Here is a 21,323-nt window from a genome sequence, read left to right on the forward strand (position 1 = left end):
TAGAGATTTTTTACTTATTTGGTTGTTTATTCCTAAATATGTTGATTTTGTATCCTGCAACATTACTGAATTTGCTTATCAGATCAAACAGTTTTTTGGTCGAGTCTTAGGTTTTCCCAAATATAAGATTATATCTACACACAAAAATAATTTGAATTATCTCTTTTCCATTTGGATTCCCTTTATTTCTTTCTCTTGTCTGATTTCTCTAGCCAGGATTTCCAGTACCCTGTTGAATAACAGTCGTGAAAATGGGCAATCTTGTGTTCCATGTCTTAGAGGAAGAGCTTTCAGGTTTTCTCCATTCGGTATAATACTACATATGAGTCTGTCATATATGGCTTTTGTTGTGTTAAGGTATGTTCGTTCTATACCCAGCTTTTTAAGGGTTTTTATCATGAAGAAATGTTGAGTATTATCAAATGCTTTTTCTGCACCAGTTGAAAAGCTCATATATTTTTGTCTTTCTTTCTGTTGATATGATGCATCACATTGACTTGTGTATATTGAACCATCCTTGCATCCCTGGGTAAATCCACTTAGTCATGATGAACGATATTTTTAATGTGTTCTTGAATTTGGTTTGCTAGTATTTGTTGAAGATTTTTGCTCAATGTTCATTAGGAATTTTGGCCTGTGGTTTTCTTTTTTGATGTGTCTTTGTCTTGGTATCAGGGTAATTCTGGCCTCATAGAATGAGTTTGGAAGTATTCCCTCCTCCTCTATTTTTCAGAATAGTTTGATTAGGATTGATATTAATTCTCCTTTAAGTGTTTGATAAAATTCAGCAGTGAGGCTGCTGGGTCCAAGGCTTTTCTTTGCTGGGAGACTTTTTATTATGACTTTGATCTCATTACATGTTATTGGTCTGTTCAGGTTTTGGATTTCTTTGTGAGTCAATCTTGGTAGGTTGAATGTGTGTAGGAATTTATCTATTTCTTTTAGGTTTTCCAATTTCTTGTGTAGAGTTGCTCATAGTAGCCACTAATGATCTTTTCACTTTCTGCAGTATCAGTTGGAATGTCTCAATTTTCACCTCTGATTTTATTTATTTAGGTCTTCTCTCTTTTTTTCTTAGGTTAGACATTTGGCAATTTTGTTTGTCATTTCAAAAGACCAACTTTTTGTTTCATTGATCTTTTGTATTTTTTTATTTTAATTTTATTTCTCTCTGCTTTAATCTTTATTTCTTTTCCTACACTTATTTTGGATTTGGTTCACTCTTGCGCTTTTTTTATACATATTTTTAAAATTTTTAATTTCATTTTATTTTATTATTATTATTATTATTATTTTGAGATGGAGTCTTGCTCTGTCACCCAAGCTAGAGTGCAGTGGTGTGATCTTGGCTCACTGCAACCTCTGCCTCCTGGGTTCAAGCAATTCTCCTGTCTCAGCCTCCCGAGTAGCTTGGACTACAGGCACACACCACCATGCCCAGATAATTTTTGTATTTTTAGTAGAGACAAGGTTTCACTATGTTGGTCAGCCCGGTCTCAAACTCCTGACTTTAGGTAATCCACCCACTTCAGCCTCCCAAAGTGCTGGGATTACAGGCACGAGCCACCATGCCTGTCCTGCTTTCTGGTTTTTATGATGTATCATTAGGTTTCTTATTTGAAGTGTTTCTACCTTTTAGATTTAGGTGCTTATTGCTATAAACTTTCCTCTTAGTACTCCTTATGCTGTATCCAACAGGTTTTGGTATGCCATCATCTTTTTTTTTTTTTTTTTAGAGAAATTTTTCAACTTTTTTCTTAATTTTTTTATATCAACTCACTGGTCATTCAGGATCATATGATTTAATTTATTGTCTATGTATAGTTTCAATATTCATCTTGGTATTGATTTCCAGTTTTATTCCAGAATAAGTATCTTCTCTGTGTTCAGAGAAGATACTTGATATAATTTTAATTTTTTGAATATTTTAAGACTTGTTTTGTGGCCTTATATATGGTCTATCCCTGAGAATGATGCATGTGTTGAGGAGAAGAATGTGTATTCTGTAGCTGTTGGGTAAAATGTTCTGTATCTATTAGATCCATTTGGTCTATAGTGCAGATTATGTCTGATATTTTTTGTTAATTTTCTCTCTGGATAAACTCTCTAATGCTGAAAGTAGGATGTTGAAATCTCCAGCTCTTATTGTACTGAGGTCTATCTCTCGCTTTAGCTCTAACAACATTTGCTTTCTATATCTGGGTGCTCCAGTATTGGATACATGTATGTTTACAATTGTTATATCCTCTTGCTGAATTGACCCTTGTTCATTATATAATGACCTTCTTTGTGTCGTCTTATAGTTTTTGTCTTGAAATCCATTTTGTCTGGTATAAGAATAGCTACTCCTGCTTTTTTTTTTTTTTAATTTCCCTTGGCATGGAATATCTTTTACCATCCTTTTATTTTCAATCAAATGTGTCTTTCTAGGTGAAGTATATTTCTGGTAGGCAACAGATTGTTGGGACTTTTGTTTTTTATGTATTCAGCCACTCTATGTCTTTTGATGGGAAGAGTTTAGTTCATTTACATTCAAATTATTATTGATAAGTAAGGACTTACTCCTGCCTGTTTGTTTATTTGTTTTCAGATTGTTTTGTGGTCTTCTTTTCCTTCCTTCCTTCCTGTCCTCCTTTTAGTGAAAGTGATTTTCTTTGGTTGTCTTAATTTCTTTCTTTTTTTTGTATATATCTGTTATATGTTTTTAAATTTGAGGTTACCATGAGATTGCACATCACATTTTTAACCTATAATTATTTATTTTATTTTATTTCTAATTATCCAACTTTATTTTCCAACCACAGAGTCAAGAGATGCCACAGCCGCTAGGGCGAATGTACAACTTCTGCAGCTTTCAAAACCAGGCGGGAAGCTACATGACTGCACAAAAGACAAGACATGAGGTGCACAATTCAGGAAGAAATGGCTGGGTCTCTTCAACAATATTAGTTTAGAGCATTTTAAGGTAACACATACCCTAGTACTGCTTACAAGTCAAAGGAGAAAGGGCAAGGCATCCGTCATACATCACATCCCTTCGAACAGGGAAATGAGCATCAATTCTGTGCGAACAGCATCTTCGGATTACACATCAGCTTGTTTCACTTCGACTTCCATGGCAGCTGCAGCAGAAGCAGCCATGGTTCCACCACTTTCTGCCTCTGCTGCCTTTGTCTCAGCCCCACTTCCAGCCTCCACAGCCTCACTTCTGGCCTCGCGGCCCCCTACTCAGATGCTGTTACACAGAGCATCTGCTCTTCCAGCAGCTGTTCAGCTTGAGGATCACTACTGTTGTCGGCTGTATCCACGGGGCCTTCACAATCGCCTTGCTCTCCAGAGCAGTGCTCCTTTCCCATCTACAGCCCTCACTGCTGTTGTAATCTCCTGGGCCAAGATGTCTGCCGCCACCTCCTCAGGTGTCTCTTCTGTATCCTCACCTCCTAAATTGCCATCTCCTCCCATTTCTGTATCACCAGTTTCACTGGTGTAAGGGGCCTCACACCTGAGGTATCTGTCTGTTGTTCAAGAAACTCTTAGCCACATGGAGACTGGTTTTCTTGAACTGTTCAGCAGCTGGCCCAGTCTCATAGGAGGCCACCAAGGCAAGCAAAGGTGGCCTGGTGGCCAGGGCCACTTCCATGCACATGGCCTCTTATGGCCCAGAGCGGGGCACCTACAATTGCAACTCCCTCACTGCCAAGATCAACCAGCTTTTGGACATGATGTCCAAGGAAGAAGGCAGTGGGGGGAGCGGCCACGGTGGGGAGGGCATGCAGGACCAGGAGAGCTCCTTCCACTTGCAGACCTTGGAGTCCTGTGACTCCATGGCCTGCCTGCCAGAGCACAGCCCCTACTGCCCCAGCTACAGCTACGACTATGACTTCGACCTGGGGTTCCACCGCAATGGCAGCTTTCGGGGGCAGTACAGTGAATGTTGAGACCTGGCCCTGGAGTAGGGCTCCCTCAATGGCTTCATGCCGGGCGAGGCCAGGGCCATTTCCAGGACCAGAGCAATCCCGGCACCTTCATGTGCAACGACCCCTTCTAGCCACCCTCAGCCTCCCCTGATCCTCTATCTACGCCCTAGAAAGAGCTGAACTACGTGAGTGGATGGGGTCTGGAAAGGCCCTCTCCCCAGCCAATGGCCTCCTTGGCTCTTCTCCCCGTCCGTGGTTCCTGACTAAGGCTTGATGGGCATGCAGGAGGCGGGTGGCTATGACAGCGCTGGCCTTAAGGATGTGGTCACTCGCAGGGCCAGAAGCAGGATCAGGATCCACCCAGAAGGAGAGGGTTTGACCCGTTTGGGCTAGATGGCATGGGAAGGAAACAGAAGCAGTTCCAGAATTGTAAGGAGCCAGATGCCAAACTAGCCTGGGTTGACAGTGAAGTAGATTTCTCAGAAAATGATAACAAAGCTGGTGACTTCCACTCAGAAGATGAAGAATTCAAAGGTGAGGATGAATTCTGTGACTCTGGTAGGCAGAGAGAAGGACGACGAGGATGAGGAAGTGAAAAAGAGGAGGGAAAAATAAAGGAGGAGAGACAGGATGCAGTACTGAGCAGCCGGAAGGATTCAGTTGGCCTCTTCTGTGTGCAATTTCTGTAGATTTGAAGACGAAGAGATCCAGAAGCATCTGCAAAGCGAATTTCACAAAGAGACGCTGCAGTTTATAAGCACCAAGCTGCCCAACAAGACAATGGAATTCATCCGGGAATACATTATAAACAGGAATAAAAAAATTGAGAAGAAGCATCAGGAATTGATGGAGAAAGAAAGCACAAAACAAAAACCAGATCCTTTCAAAGAGATTGGCCAGGAGCACTTTAAGAAGATCCAGGCTGCTCACTGCCTGGCCTGCGCCGTGCTGATCCCAGCGCAGCCACAGCTTCTCCAGCCACACCTGCACTTCCTTGACCTCAATAACCTATTTTTTAAATTAATGGCAACTTAACATTGAATGCATAAACAAACAGGCAAAGTGAAAACTAATAAAAACTCTACACTGCAACTTCATCTCCCTGCTTTATAATTTTTTGTGGTTGTCTTATTATATGTCTTACTATACTATGTCTTGAAAATTTGTTGTATTTCTTACTTTTGATAGTTTCATCTATTAGTCTTTCTACTCAAGGTATGAGTAGTTTATGCACCAGAATTACAGTGTTATGATATTCTGTGTTTTTCTGTGTGCTCACTATTACAGGTGAATTTTGTGCAATATCTTCAGATGAGATGAATTATTATTGCTCATAAACATCATTTTATTTCAGATTGAAGAACTCCCTTGAGCATTTTTTGTAAAATAGGTCTGATGTTATAAAATCCCTCAGTTTTTCTTTGCCTGGGAAAGTCTTTATTGTTCCTTCATGTTTAAAGGATATTTTTATTGGATATTGCTGAGACCAGCTCTGTCGTGGAGACCCCAACCCAGTGACACTAGAGGAATTAAAGATACACACACAGAAATATTGCATGTGGAATGGGAAATCAGTGGTCTCACAGCCTTCAGAGCTGAGAGCCTTGAACAGAGATTTACCCACATATTTATCGACAGCAAGCCAGTGATAAGCATTGTTTTTATAGATTATAGATTAAATAAAAGTATTCCTTATGGGAAATAAAGGGATGGGCCAAAACAAAGGGATGGGTTTGGCTAGTTACCTGCAGCAGGAATATGTCCTTAAGGTGCAGATCACTCATGCTATTGTTTGTGGTTCAGGAATGCCTTTAAGCAGTTTTCTGCCCTGGGTGGGCCAGTTATTCCTTGCCCTCATTCTGGTAAACCCACAACCTTCCAGCATGGGCATCATGGCCATCATGAACATATCACAGTGCTGCAGAGATTTTGTTTATGGCCAGTTTTGGGGCCAGTTTATGGCCAGATTTGGGGGCCTGTTCCCAACAGATATACTATTCTAGGATAATTTTTTTCCAACGCTATGTGTATGTCATGCCATTCTCTACTGGCCTGTAAGCTTTCCACTGGGAAGTCTGCTGCCAGACATATTGAAGATCTTTGTATGTTACTTGTTTCTTTTATTTTGCTGCTTTTAGGATCATTTCTTTATCCTTGACCTTTGGAAATTTGATTATTGAATGTCTCAAGGTGGTCTTCTTTGGGTGAAATCCACTTGATGTTCTATAACTTTCGTGTGCTTGGATATTGATATATTTCTCCAGGTTTGAGAAGTTCTCTGTTATTATCCCTTTGAATAAACTTTCTACCCCAATCACTCTCTCTACCTTCTTTTTTCTTTTCTTTTTTTTTTTTTTTTTTTTTTTTTGATGGAGTTTTGCTCTTGTTGCCCTGGCTAGAGTGCAATGGCGTGATTTTGGCTCACTTCCACCTCCTCCTCCCAGGTTCAAGCAACTCTCCTGCCTCAGCCTCCTGAGTAGCTGGGATTACAGACATTTGTCACCATGGCCAGCTAATATTTTTGTATTTTTAGTAGAGATGGGGTTTCCTCATGTTGATCAGGCTGGTCTTGAACTCCTGATCTCAGGTAATCCACCTACCTCAGCTTCCCAAAGTGCTAGGATTACAGGCATGAGCCACCCTGCCTGGCCTACCTTCTCTTTAAGGTCAATAACTCTTAGATTTACCCCTTGGAGGCTATTTTCTGGATCTTGTAGATCTGGTTCATTCTTTTGTATTCTTTTTTCTTTTCTCTCCTTTGACTATGTGTTTTTAAATAGCCTGTCTTCAAACTCCTTAATTCTTTCTTACACCTGATCACTTTTACTGTTAAGAGACTCTAATGCATTTTTATGTATGCAGTTGCATTTCTCAGCTCCAGAGTTTCTTCTTGATTTCAAAAAGTATTTCAATCTCTGTTAAATTTCTGTAATAGGATTCTGAATTCCTTCTCTGTCTTATCTTGACTTTCACTGAGCTCTTCCATAGAGATATTTTTAATCTACTCTCTGCAAGGTTACATATTTCTGCCTCTCTGGGATTGGTCACTAGTGCCTTAGGTAGTTCATTTGGTGAGGTCACATTTTCCTTGATTGTCTTGATACTTATGGATATTTTTCAGTGTCTTGGAACTGAAGAGCTAGATATTTCTTGTAGTCTTCACAGTCTGGGCTTCTTTGTACCTGTTTCTATTGGGAAGGCTTTCCAAATATTCAAAGGTACTTGGTTGCTGTGATCTAAGTCTTTTGTCACTGCACTGTATCTGCATTAGAGGGCATCCCAAGCCCAGTAATACACTAGTTCTTGGAGGCTCATAGAGGTAGCACCGTGGTGCTCTTGGGTCAGATTTGGGATAATTCTCTGGATTACCAGTCAGAGATCCTTGTTCTCTTCCCTTACTTTCTCCCAAATGGAATCTTTATTACTGTGCTGAGCTGCCTGAGGGGTGACAATAGCACCCCTGTGAGCATCACCACTGGGACTGCACTGAGTCTGACCCAAAGCCAGCACAGTACTGAGTCTCACCCAGGGCCTGCAGTGACCACTACCTATTTACCACCTATGTTTTCTCAATGTCCAAGGGCTCCACAATCAGTAGGTGGCAAATCTGGTCAGGCTTCTCCTCTTCCATTCAGAGAGGTGAGTTATCCCAGTCCCTGGGTAGGTCTAGAAATGGTGCGCAGTAGTCAGGTCCTGGAGTTGGGAACCTAGGAATCTACTTGGTGCTCTAGCTAATGTGGCACCCAAGCTGCAAGATTTTTCCAACTTTTCCTCCCCTTTCCTCAAGTAGAGAAGACTCTCTCTGTGGCCATCACTGCCACAGGCCTGCAGCAAATACTGCCTGGCTAGTGCTGATGTTCAATCATGGCCCAAGGGTTCTTCAGTTCACTTGTGGTGAATACTGACAGGCCTGCGTCTCTTGCTTCAGGGCAGTGGGCTCCCTTCTGGCCTAGGGCAGGTCCAGAAATACCATGCAGGAGCCAAGGTCTGGAATCAGGGACAGCAGAATCCCACTTGTGGCTGAGCTGGCTCCCAAGCTGCAAGAAAAAGTCCCCTTTACTCTTCCCTCTCCTTTCCTCAAGCAGGAGTCTCTCCCCATAGCCACCACAGATGGAAATGTGCTGAGTCACACCTGAAGCCAGCATGGCTCTGAGTCTCGCCCAAGGCCCATGGTAATACTGCCTGGCTATCGCTGCTAGTTATTCATGACCCAAGGGCTCTTTACTCAGCAGGTGATGAATCCTGTCAGGAATGTATCCTTCCTTCCCTTCAAGGCAGCAGGTTCTCTTCTGGCTCAGGGTGTGTCTAGAGATGTCATCCAGGAGCTAGGGCCTGGAAAGGGGGCCTCAGAACTCTGCCTGGTGATTTCTTCTGTGGCTAAGCTAGTATTCCATTCACAAGACAATTCCTATTTACTCTTCTCTCTCCTCTCCTCATGTGGAAGGAAGGAGTCTCTCCTGGATCTGCAAGCTGTACTGTCTTGGGTTGGAGAAGGGGTGATGTAAGCACTCTTTTAGCCACCTCAGTTGATGTCTCACTAGATTGCATGCACCCCAAATTTACTGGCTCCAAGTTCAGCACAGCACCAGGACTTGCCCAGGAATGCTATTCTTTGTGGCTGAAACTGCCATCCAAGTTCATTTAGAACCCCAGAGCCCTTTAGCCTGTAGTGATGTGGCTTGCTGGAACTCAAATTCCTACTGCTGGGGCTGGCCTAAATAATCCCTCCATGGGCGCTGACTGAGTCCTGCCCCTTCTTGCTTTCTGCTGTGACAGGGCAGCACTGAGTTCCAATGCAATATTCCACAATCACTGTGCTCTCCCTCCTGCAAGCACACAGATTTTCTCTCCGCATCACGTGGCTGCTGCTGGGAGGTGGAGAGGGGTAGTGTAGGTGATTTAAGATTGTCTCTTTTTTAGCCTCTTTCCTTAATATGATGTTAAAACCAGGTACTGTGATTGCTTGCCTGATTTTTGGTTCTTACGAAGGTGCTTCTTTGTGTGGATAGTTGTTCAATCTGGTGTTCCTGTTTGGGGGAAGATTGCTGGAGTATTCTGTTCAGCCATCTTGTTTTGCCTCACTCTTCTCTGTTTTCTATTTTTATATATTTTTTGTTGTAAAGGCACTTAACAATTATTTTGTTTCCTTATTTTCTTATAGGGGATTAAATATTACTTCCCATTAATTCATCTCATACCTCTTCTCCAGAACTATAATTATAGTTTCATTATGTCCATACATTATGTAATTCATTGGTTTAATTTTGTTCTTCGATAAATACTTCTTGAGGCCCTCTCCTTTTCTTCTCTAATCTGAAGTTTATTCTCGAATTCTGTGGGATAGCTTATGTCTTGTCACTTTGGGATTGACATTTAACTTCATCCTAGCAATTCCTATCAACTCCTTCCTGCATTGAACCCCTCCCCCCTTTTTTGTTTTCATTTCTTCTTTACTCTTAATTTATGGCTTTAATTTTAATGGGCTATATCTTATAGTAGCACATTGGAAATTATTTGAAGAAAAGTAAATTTCTTGAGGATTTGTGTGCCTGTTAAAAAAATAATTGTGACAACAACTTTCTGAGAACTTCTTAGATGCCATACTCTACTCTTTGCATTTTATGTGTGTTTACTTATTTAATCCTCAAAACAACCCAGTAAGAGAATTAATTATTGATTTCCTGGGAAAAATAAAAACTTAAGAAATTGAAATTTAAGCCCCAACATATGTAGAAGCTTGCTGTTCCAGAATTAAAACCCCTGAAATCTGACTCTAAAGTTTGTGTTTTAGCCCTACAGTATGCAAACACCCAACAGCATTATTCTACCATCACATGTGATAAGTAATTATATTTGATGCAGAATTCTAGCTTCCAGTGTCACTGACATATTGTTTCTCTTTTTATTATTATTTCTTCTGAAATTCCTATTGTTTATGTATTGTGTGTGGGTCATCTGGTTTTGTCATCTCTTCACATGTTTTTTTCCATTTCTGTTCTGAGAAGTTTTGTAACTTTATTTTCCAACACTTTACTATTGAGTTTTTAATTTTTTCTAATATATTTTAAATTTCAAATATTTTTTCTTTTTCTTAATCCCTTTTTCTATATTTATAAACAGTATCTTTTTGTCTTTTATATATATATTAACTGCAGATGTTCTCTGTTTGATAATCTTGCTGAGCTTTTTCTTGGGGAAATTCAACTGTCAAACTCTCTCACTTTCTCTAGAGAGGAATTATTTATCATGCTGCCTGAAGACTGCAAACCCAGTAGCCAATGTTCTCACAGCTGAGTGGAGGAGGTGGTTTTACTACTCTCTATATAGATTTCCACAGATGCCCACCTTTCCACATAGTATTTTCATCCTCAGCTATGCTTGGGTCCCCAAGTCTAAAGCAATGTCTGACTTAACCTCTTTAGACAACTGACCTTCAGTTTAAAGCAGATGATTATTCCTTACACAGATTTCCAAACAATCCTCCTTTTTATCAGCCCAACATACACCCAACTATCAGAAGTGCCTCCAATTTATGCAGTTCTGTGATTCAAATGTGTTTTTGCTGGGTTCTACGCATGGTTGCATTAGAATGCACTTTCTTCTAGTTCTAATCAGTTATCATGTGTTCATTTATTTTTGGTTTTCTTTCTTTTTTCTTTCTTTCTTTCTTTTTTTTTTTTTTTAGAGACAGTCTCACTCTGTTGCCCAGGCTGGAGTGCAGTGGCATGATCTCGGCTCACTTCAAACTCTGCCTCCCAGGTTGAAGTGATTCTCCTGCCTCAGCTTCCAGAGTAGCTGGGATTACAGGTGCCTGCCACCACATCCAGCTAATTTTTGTTTTTTTAGGAGAGATGGGGTTTCACCATGTTGGTCAGGCTGGTCTTGAACTCCTGACCTCAGGTGATCCTCCCACCTCGGCCTCCCAAAGTGCTGGGATTACAGGCATGAGCCACTGCACCCAGCCTGTTTTCAGTTTTCTAAAATATATCGCTGTTTCTCCTATTCCATTTTTGATTTTATGGTGTATAAACTTTTATCTCTTTTCTGATATTTTAGTGTGATTTCAGCAGGAAGCAGATGTTTCTCAGAAGTTCTCAGAATAATCATTTGAAAGTGGAAAGTAGTATGTATGTAAAGGATCTGGCTAGCGAGGCCTTATTGCATCCATGTAGGCCCAAGATGTAAGAAAATAAAGATCATGAAGAAATTACTTGACTCCTAATTTTATGACCACTCTCCTCTCATTCCACAAATGTACTTCAATTTGAAGGACAGCCTTGTTCACAAACAAAGGTGAGTTATAGAATACTTCTGTTTACCCATTAATTATCTGTTTACATGAAATACTTCACTTGCAAAGTTCCAAAAGTACAGAAAATTCTTTCTTCCTTCAGTAGATTTTATATAGTATGTGTGTGTAATGTGTAACGTGAATTGTATATAACAGAGGTGGAGGATAAACTTCACCAATTAAACCATTTTTCACACTTCACCAACAATGTGTTGAGATGAAAAGCTTACAATGTAGAAAATGTTAAGACCAGCAATATTCTTCTCCATCTACAATTTCAATGGCAGGTGGTTGTTTTGACATTGTCTGTGTCATTTTCTTTCTTACGTGGTAGAATATGCCATCATTTTAAGTATCAATATATGTTATTGCTTATACAAAACAATCAGGGGATAGAAAATGATTCTAAAATAAGCATATTTTCAAGAAAAAGGCAATAAACTCAAAGGTAGCAGGAAAAATTTTAAAGGTGAGAGGAGAACAAGAGAGAAAAATAATCATCAAATTTTTTGAACTGTTAGAACACAAGTCAAGATATCTGGGCTGGCAGGAGGGGGACTTTGAGAAGAATGAATTGTTAATAGGAAACTTACATAAGCATATGATTTAGAAGGAAAAATTTTCAAATTTTGCACAAAGAGATGATTATGACAGTATTTCAAGCAAGCATTTGAGTTTATGAAAATGAGTTTTTAAATGTATAGTCGTATTATACAAAACATCATTGCTAATCTGTTTTGCTTAAGATAGTGCCATCGAATACCAACAAATTTTTAAATATTTTTGAAAACTGAAATTTGAGATTCCAAACTTTCAATATTACAGGAGATAAGTATAAGTGGGGGTTCATTGTTATCTCTAAACTTAGAAAGAATATATGGCTTCTATATTTTGATAGAATATTTGACTTACATGTACCCAGACCTGATTTCTTGAAAAGTTAGATATGGTTGATGCTCTGTCCTCCTAAAAGAAAAATAAGCTTTCCAATATTACTAATTGGAAACATGTATTTTGAAATCACTGAAAATAACAGCATTTGAAAACTTACCCATGCTATGGGTTAAATTTTTAAAAATGCTACAGCAGTAAATTAATTTGGAGAATTTTTTAAGTACATAAAAAGTGAAAAGAATTCACATCTTCCTCCATACTATGCCACATCTCCTGCACAAGAAGTAAATATATTCCTCTCACTCACTACAGTTCTTGGAGAATAACAAAGGCATAGAGAAAGTTATGACCATGTTTTTTAAGAATAGGATATAATAAACATTAATCATTAATTATAGATTCTTCTTCCATGTGAAATTTAGGGTGATACCTCACTTTTGAATTTCTTTCACGTTTATGTTTCAGTAGGAATGTCTTAGATTTAATACAGAGAGACTAGGCTTCAGGGTAGGAGCCATATCTTTCTCCTTAATTTCTTTGCCTCTGTATTTTAATTTAATATCTGTTTGTCTTACTCAGTACATGTTTATTGAATGATTTTAAGGATGAATGAAGAAATAAGTAAATGCAAAAAATATCCTCAGCCAAAACACGAATATTCTCACCAAAGTACAATTATTATTTTATATTATTTATTGAGTATGGCTCTACTCTCACTATATACAAATGGTGACTTAGCCTTCCTTCCTACTTTAATAATGTATTTGACATTTAAAGATTCTCATGAATTTCAAATACACTTTGTTATTTTAAAGACTATAACCAAAATAGTTATTTTCTTGAAGTGTTTAACCTTATTTGTACATATTTTAATTCTTGAAACATAAAATATTTGACAAACAATTTTATTAAATCATTACAACTCGATACCTTTTCGAATCAAAGACAGAAACTTACAAAATGCAATGACAGCTATTAGGCCAATGATTCTCAAATGTGAGGTAGCGCAGAAATCAACTGGGGAGCAGGTTAAAAGTCCAAATTACCAAGCTCTTCTGCCAGAGATTTTGGCTCGTCTGCCATCAAGTTTTATAGTTGACTTCTGATGCAGTTGGTATAGGATCTTATTTTGAAATACACTGTACTACAGTGTAATTTACATGATTGCAGGTATTGTGCCATGGTTTGGTTCTTCCAAGAGCTGATCTGATAGGATTCTAGTGATAGAACTTTATTTGTGGAGTGCACTTTATATGAATAAACAAAAAAGAGAGGGATGCAATAGAGGAAAGGGTTAGACCTAATAAAAGGTGGACTATTAAGATATTTTCCACAGTGGCCAACTGAAGCCTAAACCCTGAGGAGTTTCTGATAAATGTCACCATACACATGCCTCAATATTATTTCACCAACAGGGAAAGAGAACTTGGGTATTTATATCCCAACTCCTAAGACTCATTGGTAAAGGCAAAACCCAAGTTAAATGTAAAATCCAAGAGATATTAATTTCTCATCATTTTCAATCTGCTTGGGGAGTTTAGCAGGGCTATCTGCAGTTTGTGCACAATCGATCTTCATCACAAGTGCAGACTGGCAAGGGGAAGTCACATAGAGTACATAGTAATAATGTCCATAATACCTGAACAACATGGATCAGATACTGACATTGTCTACCAGAGATTGGGTCTGTATATTTATATCTCCCTCTTTTGTGCCTAGAATACAGTAGGCAATAAATATTTTTAATATATAATGAACGAATGAAAGAAAAATCAAACCACTAGTAAGTGAAGGATTCACATTCTGTTCAAATAAAATGGGAACAGTGATTAAGGCAAAATGAAAAGCTCTGATAGCCAGGGAGCTGACAGTCATGCACCTTAAAATACTTTTTTCTCTTATGTGATTTGTCATCATCTTAGTAGGCACTATAGAATTCTCTGTTTTGGGTTGGCACCTTCTCCTCTCACTCATCACCTTCAGAGATATTTTCTCTAGAACTACTCCCAATAGGATGATGCAACAGACTTTAATGGAAAGCTTCATGTTACTACACAAATGTTGGCTCCTAGTGAATATCCTTCTGCCCTCCTCATTAAATATTAATTTATTTCATCTGTTTTGTCTAATCTTAATGTTTCTATAACAGCATTATTTTAAATAATCAAAAGAGCAAATAGGAAATACATCTGAAAATTTCACACTTAGAAAACAGCGCAAATAAATCTGTATCTAATTTTTTCAGTCACATGTGCATACTTTAAGACACACACTCACACAAATGTATGTATCCTTGAGTAGGGCACGTGACATGAAATCCCTTGAAATTGTTGATGCAGATAGAAAGTGGGATGGCCTTACAGAATCTCTGTCTTATCACCATGTCTCATATTTCTCATCATATCTAAAGGAATCAAGGGCACACTCTTGGAAGCTGAAAAAACTCAATATTCCAAATATCTGACTCATATTCTGCTTGGGACTTACAGGGCTTGGGGATGTATAAGCAAATAATCATGTACTCCTAAATTAAAATTCTTTCACAAGAATGTGGGAAATATTCATTTCCACACTCATACCAGTTACTTAGTTAAATGCAAGGGTTATGACTGGAAGGCTTAAAAATATCAATGAGGTAACACAGAGGTGTCAATTAGTCTAGGTGCATATTGGTGCATGGCAAATGAAAAAAAGAAGGGAGAAGTAAAGTCTTCGAATGGGACAGTATACATCTTGCATAAAGTTATTCAAATAAAGGAAATATAAAGTATGTATAAACACACAAACACACACACGCGCGCGCACACACACACACACACACACACACACACGTCTTTTGAAGGCCAAATAAAACTTTTCAAAAACAAAGTTGCAATATTTAATTTAGGGCAAAGAGTTTTCTTCCTTAAATGAAGTAGTTTTCTAATTTTAATTTCAGATGATGTCCTTAAAGTGTAGTAATTCACAGCCATTTTAAATTTTCTATTCTGTCATATAATTCTTCCTGCCATTTGTTGGAATGTTTTAAAGAATGTTTGTGCATTTGGACAAAATCCAGAGCTGTAAAGTTGCCTAAATGAATTACTTGTTATCTAAATATTAAGCAGCGAAACAGAAACTGCTTAATAGGACCTTACATTCCAGTGAGCAGGGTAAGGAAAAGTCATAACGGATTCTCCAGTTTGTGGTCAGGCTTATTTGGAATGTAGCATAGGTGAGAGTGGACATCCAAAGGGCATTCCTTAGGTGTCTTTTGGAATAAGTATTATGCATGGATCTAATCAAATTCTAGCACCCCTTTCTTGGCAATATGATCTTTGCAAATTACTTAAACTGCTTTAGTAAGTTGCTTAAATTGCTTTGGTCAAGTATTGTGGAGATCAGTGGATATTATTTAAAGTACTTGGCACAATGCACAACACATAGTAAGCACTAAATAAACTTTGCTTTCTGTTATTTTATTATTAACATTATTATTATGCCTGCCCCAAGACCAGTGGCACAGAATACACAGGCAACATTTAAAGAACACTTGGGAAAAGATAGAAATAATAGTAGTAGCTGACATCTATTCAAAGATCACAATGTCTCAAGAACTGTCCAAAATGCATGAACTCATCTAATTCTTTTATCTATCCTATTTCATTTCCAATTGTACAGAAGAATCTGAGCCTCTGAGAAATGAAGCCTCTTGCTCTAGGTCAGGTAGGTAGGAATGGCAGGGCTGGCATTTAAACCCACAGAGTCTAGGGTTAGAGTCAGGCTCTTAACTAATATCCTATACTATCTCTTGATAACAAGAAAACAGTCATTCCAGATAGGAACCACGTGGATTAAAACGCCATTTAGGGCACATAGAAAAGGAATAGCAAAAATGAATGAAAACAGAGGAGAACAGATTTATTTTCCTTAGCTACATCTGGCTCACAGTTTACACCTATAAAGAATGAAACAGGAACCAGAAATTAAATACTAGAACTGTGCTATATCAAAAGCATAAGTGTTATATCAAAAGCATAATGCTATGTTAATGAGGGTATACTTTGTTTATGACTAAATAACCTGTATAGTTAGCTGCATAAAGCATGTTATTGGGTATGTTCTGCCACTATCGATTTGTCTTTTTTTGTTTCGTTTTCCTTTATTTCTATAATGTCCTAAGTTAAAAATTTTCCTAAGTTAAAAAATTATTCCTATATTGATTTAATAACATACTATATTGAACAGCACCTGACAATTACAGTCATTATTCTGATGTTCCACTAGAGGAATAATATTTCTTATTTATAGTATGTAACATTATATTACTCAGCGTGGGGTTTATTTACATTCATGTGTATGTATTTCCCCAAGGTTATTCTGCCCTTCTTTGTCCTACGTATCATTTTCTTCAAGAGAAAACAATTTTATACACGCAGTTGTATGTACACACACACACACACACACACACAGAGAGAGAGAGAGAGGTCAAGCACACATAAAACCCAAGAGAGAAGTCAAGCACACATAAAACCCAATCTAAAACAAAACACATTTAGGGAGTATTTTTTGTTTCTCTTATTAGTAGCGTTCAGTTGTACTTTGTATCCACAAAGTTAAATTATTAGCCTAATATTGTGAATTCTTTTCTTATAAAAAAACCACAGCAAAACTTACATTATATAATAACATTTAACCAATTTCTTTATATTTACTAACAACCACTTTGAATACATTGTGAAAAAATATATAGATTCCATCGAATATGGAAATTTGGTCCCAGAACATTTAGTGACTTGACCAATGGCACTGAGGAAATCGGGCTAAAACAGGATGCAGTCCAAGTCCTCAGATGCCTGGCCTACTTCTTCTCGTCTTCCCAGGACAACAGACACAGAAGGAGCAAAGCCGTGCATTGCCAGACCAGTCCATGAATGCTTGAAGCAAAACATGCTTTTGTGGCACCACAAACGTTCTTAAAGCAGTTTTACCCACACTAAAATGAAAAACAAAAGGAACATGGGCTCTAGTCCCAAGAGAGCCATGTTTTCTAATGTTTCCATTAGAAATAAACTCTGCATTTGACTCCCTAAAGCAACATTATTATGAACATGATTTTATGTGGATAAATTACTACTGTATTTCAGCTGCACTGTGGGTTAAATAGGCTTTTGTGGGCTACACTATAGATATTATAACCTCATATACAGCTGCTACTATAGAAAAATGAATTCTGAGTCCAAGCTAAATTTTTTTAAAATCATTAACATTGAAAATATGCCCTAGTAAAATTGTTTTACTTTCACAAGACTGAAGATTTAACTGTTACTGCTTTGGGGCAGAAATGATATTTTATTCCCATATGCGTTCCATAGGGGTATTTATTCCCACAATTTACCTATTGAAGTATCTTCCCAATAAGTAGCTTGAAATACATAAAAACTCCAATATTTGACCATTTTGAGCTGTAAAAGTAGCAATTCCATATAGTATAATCTAATACATAAATATACAGTAGCTTAACTCTCTATTGCTGACATTTCAAGTCTTTTCTCTATTTCCCATTACACAACGGCAACACCTAACCATACGCACTCATATTATCCCATTGTGAACATTTTGACTAATTGTATTTATATTTAAACACTATTTATTTAGCATCTCCTATATTCCAGCCACATTCTATGTGTTTTGTGTGATAAAAGTAATACAAATTTATTGTTGACATTGCACAAAATGTAGAAAGATAGCAATAATAAATGTCATGAGTAATTGCAAAAATACACTAAGAATTTTGGAATCAGTTACTTGTTTTAAAAATATATAAAAATAGGATCACTATATGTATGCAGTTATAATTTTTAGATGTCTATATTGTGTACATTTAACTGACACACTGTCTTTCCTATGTCATAAAGTGTTTTTGGTGTACAGACATTCCAATGCCTGATAGCACTGCATGGTATGGCTCTACCCACATCATCTGTATTAGGCCACTCTTGCCTTGCTATAAATAAATGCCTGAGACTGGGTAATTTGTTTTTAAAGAGGTTTATTTGGCTCACAGTCCTGCCAGCTATATAGCAAGCATAGTGCCAGCATCTGCTTCTGGAGATGCCTCAGGAAGCTGTTTCTCATGGTGGAAGTCAGAGCAGGAGCAAAACAGGAGCTCACATGGCAAAGCAGGAGCAAGAGTCGGGGGGAGTTGCCACACACTTTAAATGATCAGATGTCAGGTGAACTCAGAGCAAGAGCTCACTTATCACCAAGGTGATGGCCCCTGTGATCTGCCCCCATGATCCAAATACTTAGCCACCAGGCCCTACCTCCAAAACAGGGATTACCTTTCAACATGAGATTTGGGTAGAGACAAATATCCAAACCACATCATTTTGCCCTCCGCCCTTGCTCCCACCCAAATCTCCTGTCCTTCTCACAATGCAAAATACAATTATAACTTCCCAATAGTCTCCCAAAATCTTAACTCCTTTCAACATTAACTGAAAAGTCCAAAGTCCAAAGTCTTATTTGAGACAAGGCAAGTCCCTTCAACCTATGAGCCTGTAAAATCGAAAACAGATTATTTACTCCCCAGATACAATGAGGGCATAGGCATTGGGTGAGCATTTCTGTTTCAAAAGAAAGAAATCAGCCAAAAGAAAGGAGGCGGGGGCAGTCGTTAAGTGTTAAAGCTCTGAAATAACCTCCTCTGACTCCATGTCTCACATTCAGGGCACACTGTTAGAAGGGGTGGACTCCCAAAGCCTTGGGCAGCTCCACCCCTGTGGCTTTGCAAGGTTCAGCCTCTGTGGCTGCTCCCACAAGTTGTTGAGTGCCTGTGGCTTTTCCAGGCACAGGGTCCAAGCTACCAGTGAATCTACCATTCGCAGGTCTGGAGGGCAGTTTCCCCCTTCTCACAGTTCCATTAGGTGGTACCTGACTGGGGACTCTGAGTGGGGGTTCCACCCCCCATGGTCTCCCTTGGCATTGCCCCAGTAGTTCTCTGTGGGGGCTCTGCCCATGCAGCAGGCTTCTGCCTGGGTACCCAGGTTTTCCATACATCCTCTGAAATATAGGGGGAGGGTGCCAAGTCTCCTTCACTCTTCCACTCTGTGTGCCCACAGGCTTAATGCTACATGGAAGCCACCAAAGTTTATGGCTTGCACTCTCTGAAGCAGTGGCCTGAGCTATATTTGGGGTCCTCTGAGCCAAGGCTGGAGCTGGAGTGGCCTGGATGTGGGGAGCAGTGTGTTGAGATTGAGCAGGGCAGTGGGGCCTTTGGTCAGGCCCCTGAAACCATTCTTCCCTTATAGGTCTCAAGGCCTGTGATGGAGGGGCTGCCATGATGGTCTACGAAATGCTTTCACGGCCTGTTCCCCATTGTCCTGACTTTCAGCACTGGGCTCCCTATTAGTTATGTAAATTTCTCTAGCAAATGGTTGTTCCACAGCCTACTCGAATTCCTCTCCTGAAAAGGCTTTTACTTTCTCTGCCACATGGCCAGGCTGCACATTTTTCCAACGTTTATTCTCTGCTTACCTTTTAAATAGAAGTTACAACTTTAAGTCATTCCCTTGTTCCCGCATATGAGTATAGGTTGTTAGAAGTAGCTAGGCCACATTGTGAATGTTTTGATGCTTAGAAATTTGTTCTAGCAAATACCTGAAATCATTACTATGAGGTTCAAAGTTCCACAGATCTCTAGGGCATGAAAAAGTTATTTGCTAAGGTATAACATGTGACCTCTGATCCAGTCCTCAGTAAGTTCCTCATTTTCATCTGAGACCATGTCATCCTTGACTCCATTATCTGTATCACTACCAGCATTTTTGTCACAACTATTTGACCAGTCTCTAAGAAGTTCTGAACTTTCCCTCATCTTCCTATCTTCTTTTCAGCCCTCCAAATGCTTTCAAACTCTGTGTGTTACCCAGTTCCAAAGTCGTTTCCACATAGTCAGGTATCTTTATAGCAATGCCCCACCAATCAGTACCAATTTTCTGCATTAGGCTATTCTTGCATTGCTATAGATAAACACCTGAGATAGGGTAATTTATAAATGATAGAGGTTTAATGGGCTCATCGTCCTGCAGGGTTCACAGGATGCATAGTGCCAACATCTGCTTCTGGGGAAGCCTCAGGAAGCATTAACACATGGCAGAAGCTGAATGTGGAACAAGTACTTCACATGACTAAAACAGGAGCAAGAGAACTGGGGGTGATGAGGAAGTGTCACACACTTTTAAAGAACCAGATCTCATGTGAACTCAGAGCAAGAGCTTACTTATGACCAAGGGTATTGTCCCAAGCCATTAATAGGGCTCTGCCCCCAGGATCCAAACACCTCCCACCAGGCCCCACCTCCAAGATTGGGGATTACATTTCAACATGATATTTGAATGGAGACAAATATAAAAACTGTATTACCATCTCATTTCTACTCCAACTTTTGGATTGTTAGGCTAAACCTAATTTCTTACTTTCTGAAACATGATGGAATGAGTACTCTTTCTTATAAAATTTGCATGCATCTCTGATTCCTACCATAGGAAAATATTTTCTTAGAAATGGACTTTCTGGATTAAAAAGTAGGTTCATTTTATTTTGTTACTAGTAATATCTTCTATATTATTTTAAAGGACATATTCACTGAAAACAACCCAAGCATTACAGAAGCCAATCGAACCAAAATGAACATTATACATCCACTTCCTGGGAAAAACCACTGTTGATATTTTGGCATATACATGCCCAAATATATAAGGCCCAAAGCTTGATAGCTACTGGGATGCCTGGGATGCAAGGCTGGTTCAACATATGCAAATCAATAAATGTAATCCAGCATATAAACAGAAACAATCACAAAAACCACATGATTATCTCAATAGATGCAGAAAAGGCCTTTGACAAAATTCAACAATGCTTCATGCTAAAAACTCTCAATAAATTAGGTATTGACGGGATGTATCTCAAAATAATAAGAGCTATCTATGACAAACCCACAGCCAATATCATACTGAATGGACAAAAACTGGAAGCATTCCCTTTGAAAACTGGCACAAGACAGGGATGCCCTCTCTCACCACTCCTATTCAACATAGTGTTGGAAGTTCTGGCCAGGGAAATCAGGCAGGAGAAGGAAATAAAGGGCATTCAATTAGGAAAAGAGGAAGTCAAATTGTCCCTGTTTGTAGATGACATGATTGTATATCTAGAAAACCCCATCGTCTCAGCCCCAAATC

The 21,323-nt window shown here is 38.8% G+C and overlaps 1 pseudogene; it reads left to right on the forward strand.

The window, feature by feature from the left end:
* On the forward strand, positions 3,571-4,925 carry AKAP8P1 (A-kinase anchoring protein 8 pseudogene 1; annotated as a pseudogene).

This window comes from Homo sapiens, chromosome 9 (assembly GCF_000001405.40).
Source record: "Homo sapiens chromosome 9, GRCh38.p14 Primary Assembly".
NCBI classification, from domain to species: domain Eukaryota; kingdom Metazoa; phylum Chordata; class Mammalia; order Primates; family Hominidae; genus Homo; species Homo sapiens.